Here is a 23,809-nt window from a genome sequence, read left to right as displayed (position 1 = left end):
GGACCTGAACTAAGGTAATGGAAGGAATTTACATTGCAAAAACCTTGATGCATCTCCAACATTCCAGTTGTTATTACATTCTGGGTTTTTAGCCTTAAGCTTGCAAGGAGGGTTGGTCTGTTTTATGGAGCAGGAAAAAAAGCATTGCCCATATTAAGGCTCATTTTAGCTAGAGTTTTTATCCTAAAGAGATAACCAAATATTAACTAATTTTATAGTTAATTTAAGACCAGTACACAATAGTTGTTTTTTTAATAATATGAATAACAAGACTAGGGCAATAAAGTGATGTTTTTGTTATGTATTCTGTAAAATTAGAATAATAATGGTACCCACCTTATCATGTTATTGTAAGAATTAAATAAATTAATATATGTAGAATGTCAATACCTGACACATCCTAAATAGTTTTAGTTGGTAATAATAGTAATGGTAGCAGTGTTGTTTAGAATATTATGAACCAGATAAGCCCATATCTAAATATTAGTTTTCTGACAACCTCAACTCTTCAGAAGTAAGAAAAAGGGCAGCAGGTTACCATAGGTTTTATCTTAGCACTCCTTCCTTTAAGACCTTTGTTCTTTTTTTATTTAACATGTGATTCTTAGGAAGCTTCTAAATTATCCTACAACTTAGTAAACTTGACAGATTAAAGGAGTGCTAAACATGAAACCTAAGGGCCTGATACTTAGGAAATGGATAGGAAAGCTAAAAACCAAATGCCACAGGGAAAGAAACATTTGTTAGGTTCAGTTGCTTAGTGTACATTAATTCATTTAATCCTCATAACACTTCTTGACGGTAGTGAGAATTCTATCCATTTTCTAGATGGCAAGCCTGAGATGCTGAGCAACTAAGTAAGGAGCCCATATGTAAAGAGAGCCTTTGAACATAAGTCACTCTGCCTTAGAAAAAGACTCCATCACATTTCACAGAGCATCTTGCCAACAAGGACAAGATGTTTTGCTGAATAAATAAATAAATAATAAAGGCTGCATCCAACCAGATAAGGACATAAACAAGCATACTATTCTACTATCAGTCCTCACCAGAGGACTGTGGCCGTAAAAAGAGCTCAGAAATTTGTAAACAACTCCATTGGGCCCCTTTCCCAAGCTTCTCCCTCTGTGCTATCTCTTTCCTACTTACTGGTTCCTAGGAGCTCCTCTTTTCAGTCCTGCAGCCAAAAAGCTGGGGTTTTATTTACCCCCTTCTCTGCCACCTACTTCCTGCCGCTGCATCCACACTAAGTGATGGGAGGATGGAGATAGAAAAACAGCATGAAAGTTTGCTCTGCCATCTTGGGACCAGATTTCCTCAAATCAAAGTTCTCTTCCTTCAGAATTTAAAGCCTCTGAGAGCGTTCACTGCCACCACTGCCACTAACAAGAGGTCACTTTCATGCTCTTTGAGTCTGAACTAAATGGCGTCTGCAGCTGTGTGTCTATGACAAGGTGCTCTCTCAGGTGTCAGGCTGCCTTGAGTCTAAGCCAGAAGATACCAGAGGAAAAAATGAACAAATTCTGGTCTTCTTCCCACTACATCTGCTATTATTTATTTTTTAGATTCCTCAAATATCTGCTTTATGTATTCTGTCCAGGATGCATAGTTTCACTCAGTGGGAGAGACAGAGTAAAATGTATTTTAAACAACTCTCATCCTATTTACCCCTATTCCAAAATACGGCAATAAAGAATTGTGCTTCCATGATGTCTCTTAGTGTTGTTAAATGATACTAAATTTTCATTTTAGAGAGCAGAAAAAATGTGAATATTCATCAAGTACAACCAGGTACAACAGTAATTAAACTATCCCCCCAAAATACTTCCTATGCAATAAATTATATATATATATTTTAGAGAGAGGATCTCACACTGTTGCTTATACTAGTCTCAAACTCCTGACCTCAAGTGATCCTCCTGCCTTGGCCTCCCAAAGTGCTGGGATTACAGGCGTGAACCACCACACCCAGCCCCTATACAATAAATATTTCATAAAGAATGATGGGTGGACTATTTGGAGGTGGGAGGCAAATCATCAGGAGTTCATAATTAAATTCTTTTCAATTGTCAAAATTTAGTTCAATGGCTGTTAAAAAAATTACAATATTAGTGATTAACCTGTATACTTTGTCCTTATAAAACGTCAAGTTGTTATAGTTGTGTTATTAATTATTATTATTTTCTGATGCCTTGGTGATCCTCCTGAGAAATAAATTTCCAGATAATTTAATATGTGATTTCTGTGACATAAACATTTAGATTGCTGGAAATGGTAAATTGCTAAATGTCACCCAAGTTAAAAAAAAATAGTTTAATGGTCAAAATATAGTATTTCACCTTGTTATATAATCAGTAATACTATAGTTATTTTCACAGTAGGACTTGTTAATATAGTGAAATCCTCTAAACTGGTGACATTGATACATAAAATAATGTTAAAGTCACTGCTCGGTCAGTAAATGCTTCTAGGTGCCCCCTTCACCAACAAATAACAATGTTTGTTTGGTTTTGAGTCGTAGAGCAGGATATTTCGAGTTCTAGAGCAGGATTATGAGAAAGAGGCCGACAAGATCTGAGGAAGATCCTCCTCATGTACATTTTCCAATTTAGGTAACAGGCAAGAAAGACTAAAATTTTCCTAGTGGAGAATCATCTGTTTTGACTTACACTTCACCCCCTCTCCCCTTATTGGTTGATAACACAAAATCCACGAGGCTGATACGCTGAACACCCAGTGGTTCACTGCCCAGACGGCCACTTTGGGATGAAGTCCTCATCTTACCCAGCTACTGAGCATGTCCACTGCCTTGCCCAAGGCACCCTATACCAAACTAAGGACTGGTCAATGGGAGTGGCAGGAGGAAGTTGGATTCAGAGATGTATTTCAATTCAAGAACACTCTGAGGGTCCTTCTGAGCTCCAGAGCTCCCCTTGGGATGGCTGGAGACCTTCCTGTTATTGCACCCGAGTTCAGCCTCTCCTGCTCAACCCCCTTCCCTTACTCCCTTAATTGTATTGTTGCTGACAACATTCCCCACTAAATCTCCTGCAAATAAACCTCTGTCTGTGGAGTCTGCTTCCCAAAATTGGTCTAGGACAGCTGAGCAAGGGAAAGGGGCAGGAAAACACGTACAAGTTAACAACACTGTATATAAATTAGTTTTTCAGATCACTTTCTTACTTTGCAGAAAGAGATTAAGGCAAGCAAAAGGTACTAAATCACATAAGAGAAGGCAGAGTGTGGGAGGAGATGTGAATCTTTTTACTCAGTGATTTAACTCCAAATGAAGTATGTAAGGCAGTTAAGAGAAAACCCTATGATTATTTATTTTCAAAAATGTTCATCACATCATTATATATAACAGTGAAAAATATGAAAACAATCTAAATGTCTAAGAATGAGGAATTTATTAAATAGTGAAAACATCATATGATGAATTTTCCACTAACCATTAGATTATACATTATTGTTAAGAGACAAGTAGTAAATGAACTTATAAATGATCCCAATTCCATTAAAAATTATTGTTTATAGACATGTACTTTTAAGATAACAATGATTTGCTGGCTATGAAAATATGGATGATTTTTATATTCTATGTATTTTTCTGCTTTATAAATGTTTTTAATGAAACTGCATCATTTTATAACCAGAAAAACACAATTTTATTAAAAAGTTTCACCAAATATATACCTATACAAAATTCCTTGACTAATAAAAATTACTCAAATGGAAGGTAAAAATATGTGCTTTTATAAAGGATTATGTTTTCATATTTTTAATAGCTAAAGGCATAGAAACAATTACTTAGGCAAGATAACACATTTTTAGAATATTCAATGATTGAAATTCATTATTTGCACAACTTTATCAAGAGAAGATACCTCATTTTGCAAGGCTAAGTAGGAACTAACTTTATTTTGAAATTGAATCCTTCAAAAATGTGGTCTGTCTGTGTGCGTTTTTTAGTTCAAAAGATTCTTTGGTGGATAGAGATGTTTGAGATTCATGATTTTAAAATACAGAGGAATAAATATCCCAAGTAATCCATTACAAGACTATATTAGGAATATCAAAAGAAGATGAGCAGGGACTAACTACTTGTGAAATTGTTCTTTATAAGATTGGATAAGCAAATATAAATAAATATACATTTAAAAGTTGTCCAAAGAAAGTATAAACTATCAATAAACAAAAAAGGTACAGAGATGAATGTGTATTCTTTGTACTCAGGACAAGAGAGTACAGGTGACAAAATATAAATAAATGATGAAAATCAAGTATTATACAGGATTTATGACGAACCATCACTTAATAGATTCGAACTTACAAAGACAGTATACATGAGCACAATGCTACAAAGTGTGAAAGACACAGGGAAAAGAAAATTGCAAAATGTTATTCAACACAGCCAAATGAGTTTTGCCTGAAGTTTAATCAATGAAAAGACAAAAAATAATAGTGGATTTAAGAAAAAAAGCAAATAATACAGTTGTATCTTAATATATAACTACTGTTGTTTTTACTAAGGAAATAAATTGGCACCCCCAAAATGGCAAGCAGAATCAAGAAGGGACAGAAAATAGAGTAATGGGGAGAAGGGACTGAGTCCCACTTCACTGAGACCCGTAGATGCTGTAACACAACCAGTAACATTACTAATTCTATCAACCCTAACTAATTGTACATGATCTCAAGGTGATTCCAACAGTACAGGCAGGATAAATATTCATGGAAGTAACTGTGAGTCACACAGAGCAGACCTTTCCTCAGGAGTGGCAAAATGGACTGATTTTGGTTGGGAAGTGCTGAGAGACAATGAAGCGCCTCACACATAATCACAAATCCCACCTTGAAAAATGGAATTTTAAAACTACATTTTAGAACAATGGCAATACATTTGCATTTCTAATATTTTTTAAATTGGCTTAGCTAGAAAAATTTGGCTCATGGCTAAAAAATAATATAAAAGGTAGGAGAAGGGTTATGTCTTATCCAGTTTCACATAAAAGCAATTTAGCAATTTTGTAGAACACCACAGAGCATCAGCAGATTAAAGCCACTTTTACATCCATGATAACTTTGAGAAGTTAGTAAATCCAGATTAATGACAAAAATTGATTTTGATCACTAAAAATGTGTAGCTATTTCTAGGTTGTTTGTCACTTCTAAACTTTCAGTCCTCTCAATTTGCCTTCTATAGAGTGTTTTTTCTTTTTTTCTTCCAAAGTTTGCAAATATATAAATACTCATGAAATTATCTCCCATGCCAAGATACTAAAATAGGATATATAAAATAGGGTGACTGGCTGTTATTCAAAATTATTTATTATACACATGCAATGTGCCAGACACTTTTCTTGACACTGTGACTATGACAATGAACAAAGTAGATAATTTCTGCCCCCGTGGTGCTATGCTCATGGAGCTATGATGGGGTTGACAGACAATAAACACATAAGCAAGTGAAATACATAGTATATTAGCTACTAAACAATGGTAAGAGGAAATAAGAATAAAAGAAAAATAGGGATTATCAGTAAGATTGACTTTTAGATTGGCAGACAAGGAAGTTGTACAAATGCATAGCTAAGTCTCAGCTCCAGAATTTTCTCTAGAACCTTAGGATGTAGTTAAAACTAAGAGTTATACAAAAACCAAGCCCTATGAGAGTCCAATCCTCGTGAAGGCCACATAAAGAGCTGCTTCATTTATACTCAGGGTGTTTTGCTTGAGCTTTCTGCTAATTGAAAATTAGCACGTATTCACTACCTGAATTCAAAATAGTCTACAAATCTATAGTAATCAAAATAGCATGGTACAGGCATAAAAACAGACACAACAAGTGGAACAGAATAGAGAGCCCAGAAATAAATCCAGGCTTTTCCAGCCAACTCATTTTCAACAAAAGTGCCAAGAACACACAGTGAGGAAAGGACAATCTCTTCAATAAATGGTGTTGGGAAAACTGAATATCCACATGCAAAAGAATGAAAATAGACTCTTCTCTCACACCATATACGAAAATCAACTCAAACTGGAGTAGAGACTTAAATGTAAAACCTGAAGCTATGAAACTACTGGAAGAAAACATAGGGGAAAAGCTCTATTACATTGGTCTGGGCAATGATTTTTTGGATATGACCCCCGAAGCACAGGCAACAAAAGCAAAAATAGACAAGCAGTATTACATCAAAGTAAAAAGCTTCTGCACAATAAAGTAAACAATCAACAGAGTGAAGAAACAACCAACGCAATGGGAGAAGATATTTGCAAACTATACACCTGATAAAGGGTTAATAGCCAAAATATTTAAGGGGCTTAAGTCAAGAAAACGAAAAACCCAATTTAAAAATGGGCAAAGGACCTAAATAAACATCTCTTAAAATAAGACATACAAATATCCAACTGGTATGTGAAAAAAATGCTCAACATCACTAATTATCAGGAAAATGCAAATTAAAATCACAATGAGAGATGATATCTTTATGGAGTGATATTGTTCTGCCTCTACACATGTCATTCCCATGCCTTGGTATCACAGGGACATTCACAAAAGGCAAGTGAAATTGTAATTACAACAACCCTTGCCCCCACTGAAATATCTGGTAATTGTGTTCTGCAGCAAACTGAAGTTTGGTAAATGTGTATGAGAAAATCCCATTAGTGTCTATTATCAAAAAGACAAAAGATAAGTGTTGGCCAGGATGTGAATGACCCACCTTGCACACTGTTGGTGGGAATAAAAATTAGTACAACCATTATGGAAAACAATATAGAAGTTTCTCAAAACAATTACAAATAGAACTACCATACAATCCAGCAATCCCACTGGTGGATATAATCATGTATATATCCAAAGGAAATGAAATCAGTATGTCAGAGTTATTTGTACTTTCATGTTCACTGCAGCATTATTCCTAATAGCCAAAAAAATGGAATCCACCTGACTCCATCAGTGAATGGATAAAGAAACTGTCATATAGAAACATAATGAAACACTATTCAGCCATAAAAAAAGAAGGAAATCCTGCCATTTTTAACAACATGGATGAACCTAAAGGACATTATGTTAAGTGAAATAAGCCAGGCACAAAAAGACAAATATATGATCTCCTTCATATGTGGAATGTAAAAAAATTAATCTCCTGGAACTAGAGAGTAGAGGAGTGGGGGCAGTTGCAGTTGCAGGTGGGGTGCTTGGGGTGACATTGGTCAAAGGGTACAAGATTTCAGTTAAATAGAAGGAATAAATTGAAGAGTTCTATTGTACAACATTGTAACCAGAGTTAATAACAATATATTGTATTCCTGCAAAATGCTCAGAGAGTGGATGTTAAGTGTCCTCACCACAAAAACGTGATGATTATGTGAGGTAATGCATACGTTAATTAGCTACATTCATTCATTTCACAATGCATATGCACTTCAAAACATCACGTTGTACAGATGAAGATATACAATTTTGTCTGTCAATCTAAAAATAAAATAACAAATGTCTAGAAAAAAAATAGCAGAAGATGAAATATTTCCAAAATAGTCTCAGGGTAAGCCTGAAGTAATGGAAATGCCAGTTGCTGAGAGTATGCTCTGACATACAAGTGACTTAATTGTTTAGTTAGAAATGGATCAGCCAGACAGCATCAGATATTCCTCTGTGTGGTAATCTCCATTTACAATGAAATAAAATGTGGTCAAAGGAATGATTTAAGGATTAGAGGCTCACCGAGCCCTTCTTTACATAAAAATCCAATCGACTTCTTTGTGACAGCACACTAGGGAGAGTCTCTAAAAGTACACATTAGGTAGTAACCTTAAAACAGCAACCAGAAGCAGCTGACCAGATTAATCCACTGATAACTGCCCGACACCTGCCTGGAGGTCTGGATTTACAAGGTGAGTGCAAAAATGAAACTGATCATGAAATTATTTCAGCCTAGGCAGCGTGTTAATGGAATTTTTCCAAAATACACTTTGAAGGTTCTGTTAGAGAACAGAATGAAGAGTCCCAGGAATATTTAGTTGAGATTTTTAGTCCATCACTCATATCAAATATTTATTTATTTATTTATTTATTTATTTATTTATTTATTTATTTATCGAGACGGAGTCTTGCTCTGTCTCCCAGGCTGGAGTGCAGTGGCACAATCTCGGCTCACTGCAACTTCTGCCTCCTGGGTTTAAGCGTTTCTCCTGCCTCAGCCTACAGAGTAGCTTGGATTACAGGCACCCGCCACCATGCCTGGCTAATTTTTGTATTTTTGGTAGAGACGGGGTTTCACTATGTTGGCCAGGCTGGTCTTGAACTCCTGACCACAAGTGATCCACCCGCCTAGGCCTCCCAAAGTGCTAGGATTACAGGCGTGAGCCACCGCACATGGCCCAAAAATTTTTATAATGCAAAAATTAAAAGAATGATTTTTGAAATTATATCATTCTATCATTATCAGCAAAATCATTGGAGGTGGATTTCCACTTTAAACAGGGTGATATATTGAATCTTTGCTTGATTATTCATCGCAAATGTTGTAATGTATTCTCTAATACATAATGGATGCTTTTAAGAAAGCAACTCTAGGCTGGGCACGGTGGCGCTTGCCTGTAATCCCAGAATTTTGGGAGGCCGAGGTGGGCGGATCACGAGGTCAGGAGTTCGAGACCAGCCTGACCAATGTGGTGAAACCCCGTCTCTACTCAAAATACAAAAATTAGCCAGGCATGGTGGCACACGCCTGTAATCCTAGCTACTCAGGAGGCGGAGGCAGTAGAATTGCTTGAACTCAGGAGGCGGAGGTTGCAGTGAGCCGAGATCACGCCACTGCACTCCAGCCTGGGTGACAGAGTGAAACTCGGTCTCGGAAAAAAAAGAAAGCAATTCTAGGTTCCTTATAATGCAGTGACTCTTGGGTGTTATGGGAGTGAGATCCTACCACTGCCATCTAGAGAACATAGATACTAGGCCAGCATATAAACCCCTTGTAACGCAGGGTCATCACTTGCTTCTCTAGTAGGAAAATTATTCCGGACAGTGCTTCATTTCTGCTCCTCCAGAGTTAAAAATTATCCAAGGCTGGGCGCAGTGGCTCATGCCTGTAATCCCAGCACTTTGGAAGGCCGAGGCAGGCGGATCATCTGAGGTCGGGAGCTCGAGATCAGCCTGACCAACATGGCGAAACCCCGTCTCTACTAAAAATACCAAAATTAGTGGGGCGTAGTGGCTCACGCCTGTAATCCCAGCCACTCGGGAGGGTGAGGCACGAGAATTGCTTGAACTTGGGAGGCGGAGGTTGCAGTGAGCCAAGATCATGCCATTGCACTCCAGCCTGGGCAACAGAGCAAGACTCTGTCTCAAAAAAAAAAAAAAATCTGAAACTTTACTACTTGGCGGTAGATTAGAATGAATACATGAAATATATTTACATGGTATATAACTGTGTTTATTTTACAAATATTTTATGATATTACATCAATATTATATATGTTATAAAGTCAAGTATTTAAATATATTTCATCTTGACATGAAGACCAAACATGAATAATTGTTTAATTAACATAATTAATAGTATGTTACAATAGCATTATGTTGTGGATTTACCTAGATTTTTTACTATTCCCTGAACAAGTTTATGCTTTTCCACTGCTCTGCCTTTGTTCATGTCATCCCCATGCCCTGGTGTGACAGAAACATTCACAAAAGGCAAGTGAAATTGTAATTACAACAAACCTCATCCACATTCAAATATCTGATAATTGTGTCTTTCAACAAACTGAAATTGGTAAATGTGCATAAGAAGACCGTGATCAGCACACTGCTAAGGCACATGTACACCTATGTAACAAACCTGCATGTTCTGCACATGTACCCCAGAACTTAAAGTAAAATTTTTAAAAAAAGAGAGAATATGAGACCACTTACTAAAGTTATAATTGCCATTTTAAAACAATTTATTGTCAGAATTTCTAAACGTTTTCTGCATAGTTACCTCATTTAATCTTTATAATACCCTTAAGATATAGGTTCTGTTTATATCCCCATTTCACAGATGAGGAAACTGAGGCATAAAAAATTTATCTTGCTCAAGGTCACATAAGAAGTGGTAAAGCCTGGAGTAATATCTAAGGATTTCGACTCCAGGGCTGTGCACTAACCACTGCGCTGTGTCTCCTCTTTCATGTGGAGTATTCATCATCTCACAAATGCTGGAGCTGTTTTGAAGACATCAAGTTTGCTACATTCTCAGTGGAAATTTTTACCATCCTACCCCATTCACCCTGCTACAGAGAAGAAAAACAACGCCTCCAGTGCAGGTGAAGAGGCACTGTGTCTACTGACTAAAATCCTTCATATGTTGAATAAGTCCTCTAAAAACACTTAATAATAAAATTTCATAAATGTTAGATAATACACATGAATCTTGTCTTACTGTATGCTGTTTTGTAAAAAAAGATACCTTCATCTTTTTTGCATTTTTATTATAAAATATTTTATGGGCAGAAACTCACAAAAAGAATGAGGAAAACAAATATCACCATTTCTCAATCCAGAGATAACCTAATTTAATGTCATAGGTTCTCTAATTCCATATATGATTTTACATAAATCAGAGATGTCAAAAATTATAAGCTCTCCATGCCACTTACAGATGACAAAAACATACTGGTAGATATATGAAAAAAAGTCACCAGGACACAATTTTTCATCAGCAATATTAGTAAAATAATGTATAATTCAATATTAGTAAAATTTGGCAGTATAAGGATTATTTTAAATTGATGAAAGAGTAAATTAGTACGACAATGTCATTAATAGGAATCTTTCCAATGGAAATTATTAGAGATGAATGCAATTACATATGCACCCAGATGCTCATTTCAGTGTTATTTTAAACAATGGCGAAGATTCGGAAATATCTTAAATGTTTTAAGTTCCTTAATAACAGAGGAAATGGTTAAATAAAATCTGCTGTGTGTATATATATTCACATAGAAAAATAACACAATTATTGTAATTTTTTATTCTTATTTATTTTGATATGACGAGATATGAAACAAAATTTGAGCCAGGACTCTTCTTAAAATGCCTGTTTTTCATAGACTCTCAGGCCCCTCAAGTAATAGATCCTTGAAGGTTCGATGTGGGTTTTTGGACATGTCTCAATCCACAGAGAGGACATCCCATTTAGGGAAGCCTCAGGAACTTACACATTTTCCCCACCCGCTACCCCTAATCCCAATAACTGTAATTGAACTGAGCAAATATTTTTAATGAACATACAGAATCTATAGAAATTTAGTGCACTTGAGAGGAATATAATATACACAAAGACCAATTTAAAATCAAGAATACCATTGAGGTTTTTTGTAAACATAAAGAACATTTATGCTTGCAATGCTACAATGTTCAAATTATAGGTCTTTAATATAACTTTTAAAATTATAAATATATCATTTATTAAAACCTGCTAAAAAAGAAAAACACAGAAAGCAATTTGTATATATTCTCCACACCAATCTTGTAAAATTGCTAAATAAAACTTTCACACTATTCTGAGCACTTACTGGTTAGAGTTTGTCATTATTGGACATATTCATACATAGTGCTGCTGTTTAGAGATCAATCATTTCTAATAATGGCAGCTTCAGTGGAATCATTTTAAAATACTATCAATTATACACTACAACTTCTCTGGGTTGGAACATGTACAAACATAGAGAACCACACAGCCTGGTCAGATAAAAAGTACTTTAAAGAAGGAATAGAAGGAGGAGAAGCAGGACTAGGAGTTAGGCATACCATCTCGTGGGCAGATTGTTGAAACCCTCTGAGTGTCCATTTCCTAATCTGGCAAACAATGGTGCTGATATTTACTCAGCCTAGGTAACAGGATTGGTGTGATGACTGAAGCATTTTGTGCATTCTTACACCTACCAGGAGTTAATAATCACTAAAATAGAGCAGGAGTCTACTTTGAATCTGTTTCTTCATCTACACACTGTGGAGATGGAACAAATTAAAGGTTTTCAAAACTATTTTTGCAATAGAACTCATTTTTCACGCCAACTCACACAGAACATTGAAATACAAAACCTATGAAATTAGAGCTACAGTGGAGGATGTGGACATGGGAGCCAGGAGCCTCCTCCTCTTCCAACCACCACCCTCAGTGGGCCCCAAGGTAATGTCATGGAACCCAAGAGGCTCTGCAGAGCACCCTCTGCAAACCACTAGTCTTGAATCCGCAAAACCTGTCATTTAAATTATGGATGTTTCAATAAAAATCAAAGAGTTCTTTATTACCTGCATGCCTGCTCCCACTCCAATAGTCTCTCATTGCTTTGAAAAATTAAATAAAATTACCTGCTGCTGCTTATGATGGCTGATTAAGCTCTAAATTAATTTTCTTACTGTGTATTCAAAAGCAGAAAAGATTTAGCAGATCCTCACAGTATATAAGCAACATTATTTTTAGAGAGTTTTATTTTTAGTATTCATTAGTTTGTTAAATGTCTGCATTAAAGAGGAAACGTTCTATATACCTTTGGTTGATAATGACTCTCATGCTAACAGGAGGGTCCTTCATTAAAGTCATGTGACAAATGAAAAGTATAATGAGAAACAGTAATATTTTCTGACTTCTAACAATGTTCCATTCATCAGATCAGAATCACTTTTTTTATTAAGCATGAAAGAAAGTATGACAAATGTGTAATCCTTTCCAAACCAACCTTCTGTACTTCCAAAATGATTTTGCCATAAACTCTGAAATATTTCCTCCTTTTACAGAACCAAGCAAGCACTATTTTTACAGAAAGCATGGCTGGGTGTACATGTGTATATAAACAGCATAAAAGTATCCATGCCTTTCTTACTCATATTCTATTTTCTATACATTTGAGTTTCCCCTATTAATTTTATTAAGTTGTGTCTCTTTGCTCAAAAGGGAAACAGACATCATTTATGATATGACTAGAGAAGTCTTTCCTTTAAGACTCATAGCTATTTTCTACGGAATGTTTTGACTTTGTAACAGAGTATTGTTACTCATACGCTTTCCTTGAAACTAATTACAATTAAATTCTCAATATCACTTTTCAAAAATAGAAGTAGACTTTCTGTCTTTTAATGGTCATAAAAAGTGCCTGTTAATGCATGACACTACAAATAAAACATTAAAAAGCACAATAAGAAAATAAAAGCACCCATAATTTTCCACATAGAAATACCCTGATAAATACTTTTTCATATATTTAATGAACATACAACCATATATATTATTGAAACAAGCCCCTACCTTACATTTAATCATTATGGCATGGATTTCTTTCATGACAATAAATACAAGCATCATTATCTTAACAGTTGTATAGCAACCCATTGTGTGGATGTACCAACATTTATTTTTATCAATTTTATATTAATGGAACTTAGAAATTTTCCAAATGTTTACTATTATAAACAATCTAGTGATTAATATCATTGAACTCAGAGGTGATATTTAAAATATATAACAGGCTGAAATATCAATCAATCAATCAAAATTGATGTCAACTTTTTTAAAAAGTATAGCCTTACATGTGCAACTGTTACAGGATCTTTGGGGTGTCACTTTTCTGGCCAGAAACCTCTGTGGCCAGTGATGCCTTTGCCTTGAGTTTCACTCAGGCCCGCTGGGCTCATTCCGCCCACTTGGCCTGGCAGGATGCGCTCAGCTCACACTACCAGCCTGGATCCCACATCTGCCAAGGGAGACTGTGTGGAGCACAAGGGATATGTGAGTGAGCATGGGGTCCAGCCACTGTGCAGTCAGACATGCCAGCTGCTGCAGCAAGGCAGGAAGCTCCAGGTGCCAGCATGAGAGTCGGCTTTCCACAAGGCTGCGGCTGGACCAGGTGCACCGAAAGCAGCTTCCGCAGCTGGCACCAGGGAACATGGTGATGCCCAGTAGCTTGGAAATGCCGGGAACCCAAAGAGGGAGTCACAGCCCTGGCTTGGGGAGCTCACAGGTCTGGGCTCTCTGAAAGGCTGCAGCTCTTCTTTCCTTCTCTTTGTTTGCAATGTGGTGAGCAATGGGGCATATCTCAGCCTCATTTGTGTTACAGCTCTTTTAGCCTCATTCAGTGGGTCCCGAGTTCTTGTCCTACACCTAAGAAGAATGAGGTATGCAGCAAAGTGTAGGGTGAGCAAGGTGAAGAGGAGGTTTACTGAGCAATAAAATGGCTCAGAGGAAACCCTCAGAGGGCAGCTCCTTTCCACAGCCAGGGTTTCCCCAAAGTGTGTTCAGCTTCTAGCAGAGAGGGTTGCTCCTTTCTGCTAGGCAAGTCATCCTGACAAGTATTCAAGGCAAGTCATCCTGACAAGTATTCAGGTATCAGCAGAGAAGGTAGCTCCTCTCTGCAGCTGGTCGTCCCATTGTCTGTGCAGCTCTCAGCAGAGAAGAGGCCCTAGAATGGGGTGCTCCTCTCTGCAGGCAGGTAGTCCCATCATCTCCCTGTCATCTCTCCTTCATCTCTGTGGCTCTCAGCAGAGAGGAGGCCCTAAAGTGGGTAGCTCCTCTCTGCAGGCAGGTCATCTCATTGTCTCTATAGCTCTCAGCAGAGAGGAGGCCCTAGAGTGTGTTGCTCCTCTATGCAGCTGGTCACCTCAATATCTGCTAAGCTTTGGCTAAGCCAGGGGTTTTTATGGGCCTCAGAGGGGAGGAAGTGTACACCAATTTGTCCATGGGTGGCCATGGGCAGGCCCGGAAAATGCACCACAAGTTTCCACTCCAGTCCGGCGGTACTGGCAGCCTAGTCCCCAGCCTTCAGGCTCTCTTTGAAGGCTGGGACCTCACCTGTGACCTGCCCCCTTCCATCCAGTAACCTGTCTACCTCAATCTGTCATTCAGGGCACCCAGGCTGTAGAAGCCAAGGGGTACCTGCAGGCCAGCACTGAGCTGCACTCAGCCTGCCTCAGCTTTCCTCCTATGCTCATCAGTGCCCAAAGTCTGGAGGGGGCTAAGGTGACCAGGGGCTGGCATGTCAGCACTGCCCCAAGTGTGCACACACCCAGCTGGGCTGTGACAGTGCCTGGGCTTGGCCCTATCTTTGCTCCAAGAAAGAAGCAGGTGCTAACAGCAGAGAGAAACCAGGCAGTGGGAACAGGTACTTCTGAGCCCGTAAGATCAGTGGGGGCCTTCTCAAGACCGCCTAAGAGTGCACAGATGCCTGGGTCTACAGCCACGGTTTGGGTAGCTGCAGCCACACTCTGGGGGATGGGGCTCCTGCCTGCTCCATGGAGCAGGAGGCATGGGCCTGCAGCCACAGTTTGAGTGGCTGCAGCTATGCCCAGGAGGGTGAGCCTCCCGCCTGCTCCTGGGCCCAAAGAGCACAGGAATGCCCAGGTCTACTGCTGTGGCTTGGGCATCTTCAGTGGCACCCAGGGAGCTCCTGCCCCAACTCAGAAGGGGCAGGGCTCCCACTTGTTCCCAGTTCCCACCAGTTCCATGAAGCATACAGCCAAAGCCACACCTCTCTGCTGCAGCCAGGATTGATGGCAGCCGCTGCTCCACATGGCCTCCTGCTGCCATGACAACTGGCTCTATATTAACCAGGTTTATACTTATACAACCTTTGCACATTTGCCTAATTATTTTCCTGTAGTAAATTCTTAAAAATGGAAGTATTGAGCCCAAAACACACACCTTTAATAAAATTTTGAAACACACACTCAAATTGTCACTCCAATTAGCCATTTAGACTCCCACCTTCAGCAGTGTGTGGGAGTACTCATTTCCTAACACTCTTGACGACACTGACTATTACAAGCAAGGTTAAAAAAAAAAAAAACAAAAACAAAACACTTCTACTAACCAACGTGCAAAAGACGGCATCTGGTATATTGTATTAATGGCCCCAAATCTTTGCACTTGCTTGTATCCATGTCCTTTATCATATGACTTTTTAGTTTGTCCTATTAAAAGACAAGATATATTTCCTTTCCCCTTGATTCTGAGTTTGGTCATGTAATTGCCATTTAGCCAATGGGATGTTAGCATATGTGACACAAGCAGCAGCTTAAGAAACACTTGTCCAGCTAGGCTTGCACTCTTGTACTTCTGCCATTTCCACAAGAAGGACATGCTTGGGCTGGCTCATTGGTCCCAGAAAAAGGATGAGAAATACATGGAGCCCTTGCAGAGTATGAAAGACAAATGGAGCAGGAATGCCCCAGCTAAATTGTCCCAGGAAAGCCCAACTTAGAGACAGGCCCCCAGCCTGCATACAGAAACAAGAGCAAGCTCAGTTAAGCTCATCCTAAAGCAGCCAACAAACCCTCAGACAACAAAAAGAAATGTAAATTATTACAACAGATAATTGCTGTTGTAACCATTGAGTTTTGGGAATGTTTGTTACACAAAAATAGCTAACTGATACAAGATCTCCATTAATTTCAGTGTATTTGGTTACTTTTCATGTTTTTTGTGCCTTTACATTTCTTTTATGGCTTCCCTGCTCATGCCACTGATCATTTTTGTTAGAATTGTAAACTTTATTATTAATTTGTAATAACTCCTATTAATGATGCATCTCATCTGTTATATACCCTGAAATATTTTCTTAGCATATTATTTGTATTTTATCCTTATATGCTGATTTTAGTGCAAAGATTATAAAATCATTCAGTTAAATCTATCAATATTCTTATTAACTTTGTCCTTGATCACCTACGTTGAAAGACCTTCCTCCCATCCCAAGATTTTAAAAATATTCACCTATATTTCCTTTTAGTACTTACATTGTTTCTGGGTTTACACTTAAATATTTATTATATCTGGAATATATTTTGGAGTAAAAATATGAAGTATAAAATTGAATGTTATTTTTAATAGCCAGTTATTCCAATACATTTGCTGAATAATTCATCTTAATTCCACCAATTTTAAATAATATGTGCATCATGTACTAAATTCTCCCAAAATGCTTGCATTTGTTCCTATATATTGTGTGTCACTGAGTTATTAGTCTTTTTCTATGCAAGTGCTCCTGTGAGTTATTTTTTATCAGATAAACTTTATGAAATTTTAAATTTTAGTGAGGAAGTCTACACTGATTATTTGTTTTAATTCAAAAATTGTGTATGACATTTTAGAAATTTATTCTTGCAAATTAATTTTAAAAGCATTTGAGTTTTGAAAAAAATTCATTTGGATCTGATTTAGAGAAAATAGATATTTTATGATATTTAGTCTTCTTATCTAGAGATATGACATATATTCTAAATGATTCAGGTATTAGATATGACTATACCTAGGATCGTCATGGCAGATGGGAGGCAGGACTAGATTGCAGCTTGGACTCGCATGGATACAGCAGCATGTGGAGGCTTGCATCATGAGTTTTAGCTCCAGAATGACTGCAGGAATAAATCAGGAATCCCAAGAGGACCCACAGACCTTCTGAAGGAAACGGACTGCTCCTGCAGGACCCAGAAGTCACCCCACATACTGTGAGTGCCCAAACTGCGGAAGTGGGAAAGGGAGATCCTCCACCCCTAAACTCACACCCACACTGGGGAAACTAAAAGTCTAGTCTGTGGGAGAAGATTCCAACCTTAACTGGAGCTGAATCAATTTAGAGAGCCCAGTGAAATACAGGGGTAGAGGAAGCAGCAGGAAAGACCATGGGAGTGTCACAGGGATACTTTGGGAGGGGGTCCAGTGGCACGGGATAAATGCCACAGGGAGAAGGAAGTCTCCAGCTGAACTTCGTAACAATTTGAACCAGTTGAGAAGCCTCCTTTTCTTCTGCAGCTTGGAGGCAGGTAGTCTGGGACAAGCTCTCAGCTCTGCTTCCCCACTATCTGGAAACAGACCCAGTGCTCTATCAGGGGCAAAATGGGAGTGAGACTGGCCCTTCAGATTGCATGGGAGCTGGGTGAAGCCTATGACTGCCGGCTTTCCTCCACTTCCCTGACAACTTGCATGACTCAGCAGAGGCAGCCATAATTCTCCTAGGTACACAATTTCATTGACCTGGAAATCTCATCCGCATCCCCCACAGCAGCCACAGCAAGACCCGCCCAAGGAGAGTCTGAGCTCAGACATGCCTACCCTGCCCCCATCAGATGGTCCTTCACTACCCACCCTGGTAGCTGAAGACAAAGGGTATATACTCTTGGGAGCTCAAGGGCCTGGCCCACTGCCAGTTCCTCTCCATACTACTACAGCTGATGCTCTCTGGAAAGCACCACCTCCTGGCCTCGGAGGCCAACCAGCACAAAAACAGAGCATTAAACCATCAAAGCTAAGAGCCCTCACAGAGTCTGTTTCACCCCCCTGCCACCTCCACCAGAACAGGTGCTGGTATCCACGGCTGTGAGATCCATAGACAGTTCACATCACAGGGCTCTGTGCAGACAACCCCCAGTACCAGCCCAGAGCCTGGAAGACATATTGGTGGCCAGACCCAGAAGAGAAATAATAATCTCTACAGCTCTGCTCAGGAAGCCACACCCATAGGTAAACGGGGAGAGTACTACATCCAGGGAACACCTCGTAGGACAAAAGAATCTGAAAACAGCCTTCAGCCCTAGACCTTCCCTCTGACAGAGGCTACCCAAATGAGAAAGAAACAGAAAAACAACTCTGGTAATGTGACAAAACAAGGCTCTTTAACATCCCCCAAAATCACACTAGCTCACCAGCAATGGATCCAAACTAAGAATAAATCTCTGATTTACCTGAAAAAGAATTCAGGAGGTTAGTTATTAAGCTAATCAGGGAGGCACCAGAGAAAGGCAAAGCCCAATGCAAGGAAATCCAAAAAACAATAAAAGAAGTGAAGGGAGAAATATTCAAGGAAATCTATAGCATAAAGAAAAAACAATAAAAACTTAAGGAAACATTGGATACACATATAGAAATGCAAAATGCTCTGGAAAGTCTCAGCAACAGAATTGAACAAGTAGAAAAAAAGAAATTCAGAGCTCAAAAGTCTTTGAATTAACCCAATCCAATAAAGACAAAGAAAAAAGAATAAGAAAATATTCTTATTCCAAGAAATCTGGGATTATGCTAAACAACCAAACCTAAGAATAATCACTGTTCCTGCAAAAGAAGAGAAATAAAAAATTTGGAAAATATATTTAGGGGAATAACAGAGGAAAACGGCCCAGCCTTGCTACAGACCCAGACATCCAAATAAAAGAAGCCACGAAAAGCACCCGGGAAATTTATTGCAAAAAAAAAATCATCGCCTAGACACATTGTCATCAGGTTATCTAAAGTTAAGGCAAAGGAAAGACTCTTAAGAGCTGTGAGGTAAAAGCACCATGTAACCAATAAAGGAAAACCTATCAGATTAACAGCAGATTTCTCAGCAGAAACCCTACAAGTTAGAAGGGATTGGGGCCCTGTCTTCAGCCTCCTCAAACAAAACAAGTATCAGCCCAGAATTTTGTGTCTAGTGAAATTAAGCATCATATATGAAGAAAAGATACAGTCTTTTTCAGACAAACAAATGCTAAGAGAATTTGCCACTACCAAGCTGGCACTATAAGAACTGCTAAAAGGATCTCTAAATTTTGAAACAAATCCTGGAAACACATCAAAACAGAACCTCTTTAAAGCATAAATCTCACAGGACCTATACAATAAAAATACAATTTAAAAAGCAAAAACAAAAACAAAAAACCAAGGTATACAGGCAACAAATAGCACGATGAATGGAATGGTAACTCACATCTCAATATTAACATTGAATGTAAATGGCCTAAATGCTCCACTTAAAAGATACAGAACTGTAGAATGGATAAGAATTCACCAACCAACTATCTGCTGCCTTCAAGAGACTCACCTAATACATAAGGACTCACATAAACTTAAAGTAAAGGGGTGGAACAAGTCGTTTCATGCAAATGGACACCAAAAGCGAGCAGAGGTAGCTATTCTTATATCAGACAAAACCAACTTTAAAGCAACAGCAGTGAAAAAATAGGCAAAGAGGGACATTATATAATGGTAAAAGGCCTTGTCCAACAGGAAAATATCACAATCCTAAACATATATGCACCTAACACTGGAGCTCCCAAATTTATAAAGCAATTACTAATAGACCTAAGAAATGAGATAGACAGCAACACAATAATAGTGGGGGACTTTAATACTCCACTGACAGCACTAGATAGGTCATCAAGACAGGAAGTCAACAAAGAAACAATGGATTTAAACCATATCTTGGAATGAATGGACTTAACAGATATATACAGAACATTTCATTCAACAACTGCAGAATACACATTCTATTCAACAGCACATGTGGCCTATTCAATAGGCCACAAAATGAGCCTCAATAAATTTAAGAAAATTGAAATTATATCAAGCACTCTCTCAGACTACAGCGGAATAAAACTGGAAATCAACTCCAAAAGGAACCTTCAAAACCATGTAAATACATGGAAATTAAATAACCTGGTCCCGAATGATCATTGGGTCAAAAATAAAATCACGATGGAAATTTAAAAATTCTTTGAACTGAATGACAATAGTGACACAATCTATCAAAACCTCTGAGATACAGCAAAGGCAGTGCTAAGAGGAAAGTTCATAGCCCTAAATGCCTACATCAAAAAGACTCAAAGAGCACAAACTGACATTTAAGGTCACACCTCAAGGAACTAGAGAAACAAGAACAAACCAAACCAAAACTCAGTAGAAGAAAGAAAATAACCAAGATCAGAGCAGAACTAAATGAAATTGAAACAAGAAAAATACAATAGATAAATGAAACACAAACAGCTGGTACTTTGAAAAGATAAATAAAATTGATATATCATTAGCAAGATCAACCAAGAAAAGAAGAGAGAAAATCCAAATAACCTCAATAAGAAACAAAACGGGAGATATTACAACTGACACCACAGAAATACAAAAGATCATTCAAGGCTACTATGAGATACCTTTATGCACATAAATTTGAAAACCTAGAAGAGATGAATAAATTCCTAGAAAAATACAAACCTCCAAGGTTAAATCAGGAAGAAATAGATACCCTAAACAGGCCAATAACAAGCAGCAAGATTGAAATGGTAATTTAAAAATTACCAACAAAATAAAGTCCAGGGCCAGATGGATTCACAGCAGAATTCTACCAGACATTCAAAGAAGAATTGGTACCAATCCTATTGATGCTATTTCACAAGATAGAGAAAGAGGGAACCCTTTCTAATTCATTCTATGAAGCCAGCATCACCCTAATACCAAAACCAGGGAGGGACATAACCAAAAAAAGAAAGAAAAAAAAAAAAACTACAGACCCTGAAGATATCCCTGAAGAACACAGATGCTAAAATCCTTAACGAAATAGTAGCTAACCAAATCCAACAACATATCAAAAAGATAATCCACCATGATTAAGTGGGTTTTATACCAGGAACGCAGGGATAGTTTAACACATGCAAGTCAATAAATGTGATACACCACATAAACAGAATTAAAAACAAAAATCACATGATCATCTCAATAAATGCAGAAAAAGCATTTGACAAAATCCAGCATCCCTTTATGATTAAAATTCTTAAAACTCTCAGCAAAATCGGCATATAAGGGACATACCTCAATGTAATAAAACTATCTATGACAAACCCAGAGCCAACATAATACTGAATGGGGAAAAGTTGAAAGCATTTCCTCTCATAATTGGAACAAGGCAAGGATGCCCACTCCCACCACTACTCTTCAACACACTACTGGAAGTCCTAGCCAGAGCAATCAGACAAGAGAAAGAAATAAAGGACATCCAAATTGGTAAACGGGAAGTCAAACTGTCACTGTTTGCTGATGATATGATCCTTTACCTTGAAAACCCTAAAGACTCCTCCAGAAAGGTCCTAGAACTGATCAAAGAATTCAGCAAAGTTTCTGGATACAAGATTAACATACACAAATCAGAAGGTCTCCTGTACACCAACAGCAACCAAGCAGAGAATCAAATCAAGAACTCAACCCCTTTTACAACAGCTGCAAAAAAAAAAACTTAGAAATATACTAACCAAGTGGTGAAAGACCTCTACAAGGAAAACTATAAAACGCTGCTGAAAAAATTCATAGATGACACAAACAAATGGAAACATATCACATGCTCATGGATAGGTAGAATCAATATTGTGAAAATGACCACACTGCCAAAAGCAATCGACAAATTTAACGCAACCCCTATCAAAATACCACCATCATTCTTTACAGAATTAGAAAAACTATTCTTTTTGGTTTTTTGTTTTGTTTTGTTTTGTTTTTTTGAGACAGAGTCTCATGGTTGTCACCAGGCTGGAGTGCAATGGTGTAATCTCAGCTCACTGCAACCTCTGGCGCCTGGGCTCAAGCTATTCTCCTGCCTCAGCCTCCCCAGTAGCTGGAATTACAGGTGCCCACCACCACACCTGGCTAATTTTTGTAATTTTAGTAGAGACAGAGTTTTGCCATGTTGGCCAGGCTGGTCTCAAACTCCTGACCTCAGGTGATCCCTCTGCCTCAGCCTCCCAAAGTGCTGGGATTGCAGGTGTGGGCCACTGCACCTGGCCAGAAAAAAACTATTCTAAAATTCACATGGAACAAAAAAAGAGCCCACATAGCCAAAACAAGACTAAGCAAAAAGAACAAATCTAGAAGCATCACACTACCCGATTTCAAACTATACTATATGACCATAGTCACCAAAGTAGCATGGCACTGGTATAAAAATAGGCACATAGACCAGTGGAATAGAATAGAGAACCCAGAAATAAACCCAAATACTTACAGCCAACTGACCTTCAACAAGGCAAATAAAAACATAAAGTGGGGAAAGGACACCCTTTTCAACAAATGGTGCTGGGATAATTGGCTAGCTACATGTAGGAGAATGAAATTGGATCCTCGTCTTTCACCTTATACAAAAATCAACACAGGATGAATTAAGGACTTAAGTATAACTATAAAACTATAAACTATAAAAATTCTAGAATATAACATCAGAAAAACCCTTCTAGACATTGGCTTAGGCAAAGATTTCATGATCAAGAACCCAAAAGCAAATACGATAAAAACAAAGATAAACATCTGGGACTTAATTAAACTAAAGAGCTTTTGCACAGCAAAAGGAACAGTCAGCAGAGTAAACAGACAACCCACAGAGTAGGAAAAAATCTTCACAACCTATACATTTGACAAAGGACTAATATCCAGAATCACAATGAATTCAAACAAATCAGCAAAAAAAGAAACAAACAATCCCATCAAAAAGTGGGCTAAGGAATGAATAGACAATTCTCAAAAGAAGATATGCAAATGGACAACAAACATATGACAAAATGCCCAACATCACTAATGATCAGGGAAATGCAAATCAAAACTACAATGTGATACCACCTTACTCCGGCAAGAATGGCCATAATCAAAAAATCAAAAAACAATAGATGTTGGCATGGATGTGGTGATCAAGGAACACTTCTACACTGCTGGTGGGAATGTAAACCAGTACAACTGCTATAGAAAACAGTGTGGAGATTCCTTAAAGAGCTAAAAGTAGAACTACCATTTGATCCAGCAGTTCCTCTACTGGGTATCTACCCAGAGGAAAAGAAGTCATTATATGAAAAAGATACTTGCACACACATGTTTATAGCAGCACAATTCGCAATTGCAAAATCATGGAACCAACCTAAATTCCCATCAATCAACGAGTGGATAAAGAAACTGTGGTATATATATTTATACGATGGAATACTACTCATCCATCAAAAGGAATGAATTAACGGCATTTGCAGCAACCTGGATGAGATTGACGACTATTA

The 23,809-nt window shown here is 38.1% G+C and overlaps 1 long non-coding RNA gene across 4 annotated transcripts in view, besides 3 other annotated features; it reads right to left on the bottom strand.

Moving 5' to 3' along the window:
• AHI1-DT (AHI1 divergent transcript) overlaps nucleotides 1-23,809 on the bottom strand; it is a 218,255-nt gene that overhangs the window by 97,592 nt on the left and 96,854 nt on the right. The window lies entirely within an intron of this gene.
• Nucleotides 17,189-18,388: an enhancer, noted in NCBI's record as "MED14-independent group 3 enhancer chr6:135921214-135922413 (GRCh37/hg19 assembly coordinates)". NCBI's record gives its function as "activates an origin of replication core promoter dependent on BRD2, BRD4, P300/CBP and CDK7 cofactors, and independent of MED14, by STARR-seq in HCT116 cells {active_cell/tissue: HCT116}" and the evidence as "EXISTENCE:reporter gene assay evidence [ECO:0000049][PMID:35650434]".
• Nucleotides 17,654-18,153: an enhancer, noted in NCBI's record as "H3K27ac hESC enhancer chr6:135921449-135921948 (GRCh37/hg19 assembly coordinates)". NCBI's record gives its function as "activates a minimal SCP1, AML or CMV promoter by ChIP-STARR-seq in primed H9 embryonic stem cells {active_cell/tissue: H9 hESC(primed)}" and the evidence as "EXISTENCE:reporter gene assay evidence [ECO:0000049][PMID:30033119]".
• Nucleotides 17,660-17,857: a silencer, noted in NCBI's record as "fragment chr6:135921745-135921942 (GRCh37/hg19 assembly coordinates)". NCBI's record gives its function as "represses an EF-1alpha promoter that drives an FKBP-Casp9 reporter gene in an ReSE screen in K562 erythroleukemia cells {active_cell/tissue: K562}" and the evidence as "EXISTENCE:reporter gene assay evidence [ECO:0000049][PMID:32094911]".

Source organism: Homo sapiens, chromosome 6 (genome assembly GCF_000001405.40).
Source record: "Homo sapiens chromosome 6, GRCh38.p14 Primary Assembly".
NCBI lineage: Eukaryota > Metazoa > Chordata > Mammalia > Primates > Hominidae > Homo > Homo sapiens.
The sequence above is the reverse complement of the archived record's forward strand: the minus strand, read 5'-3'. Positions and strand labels throughout refer to the sequence as shown.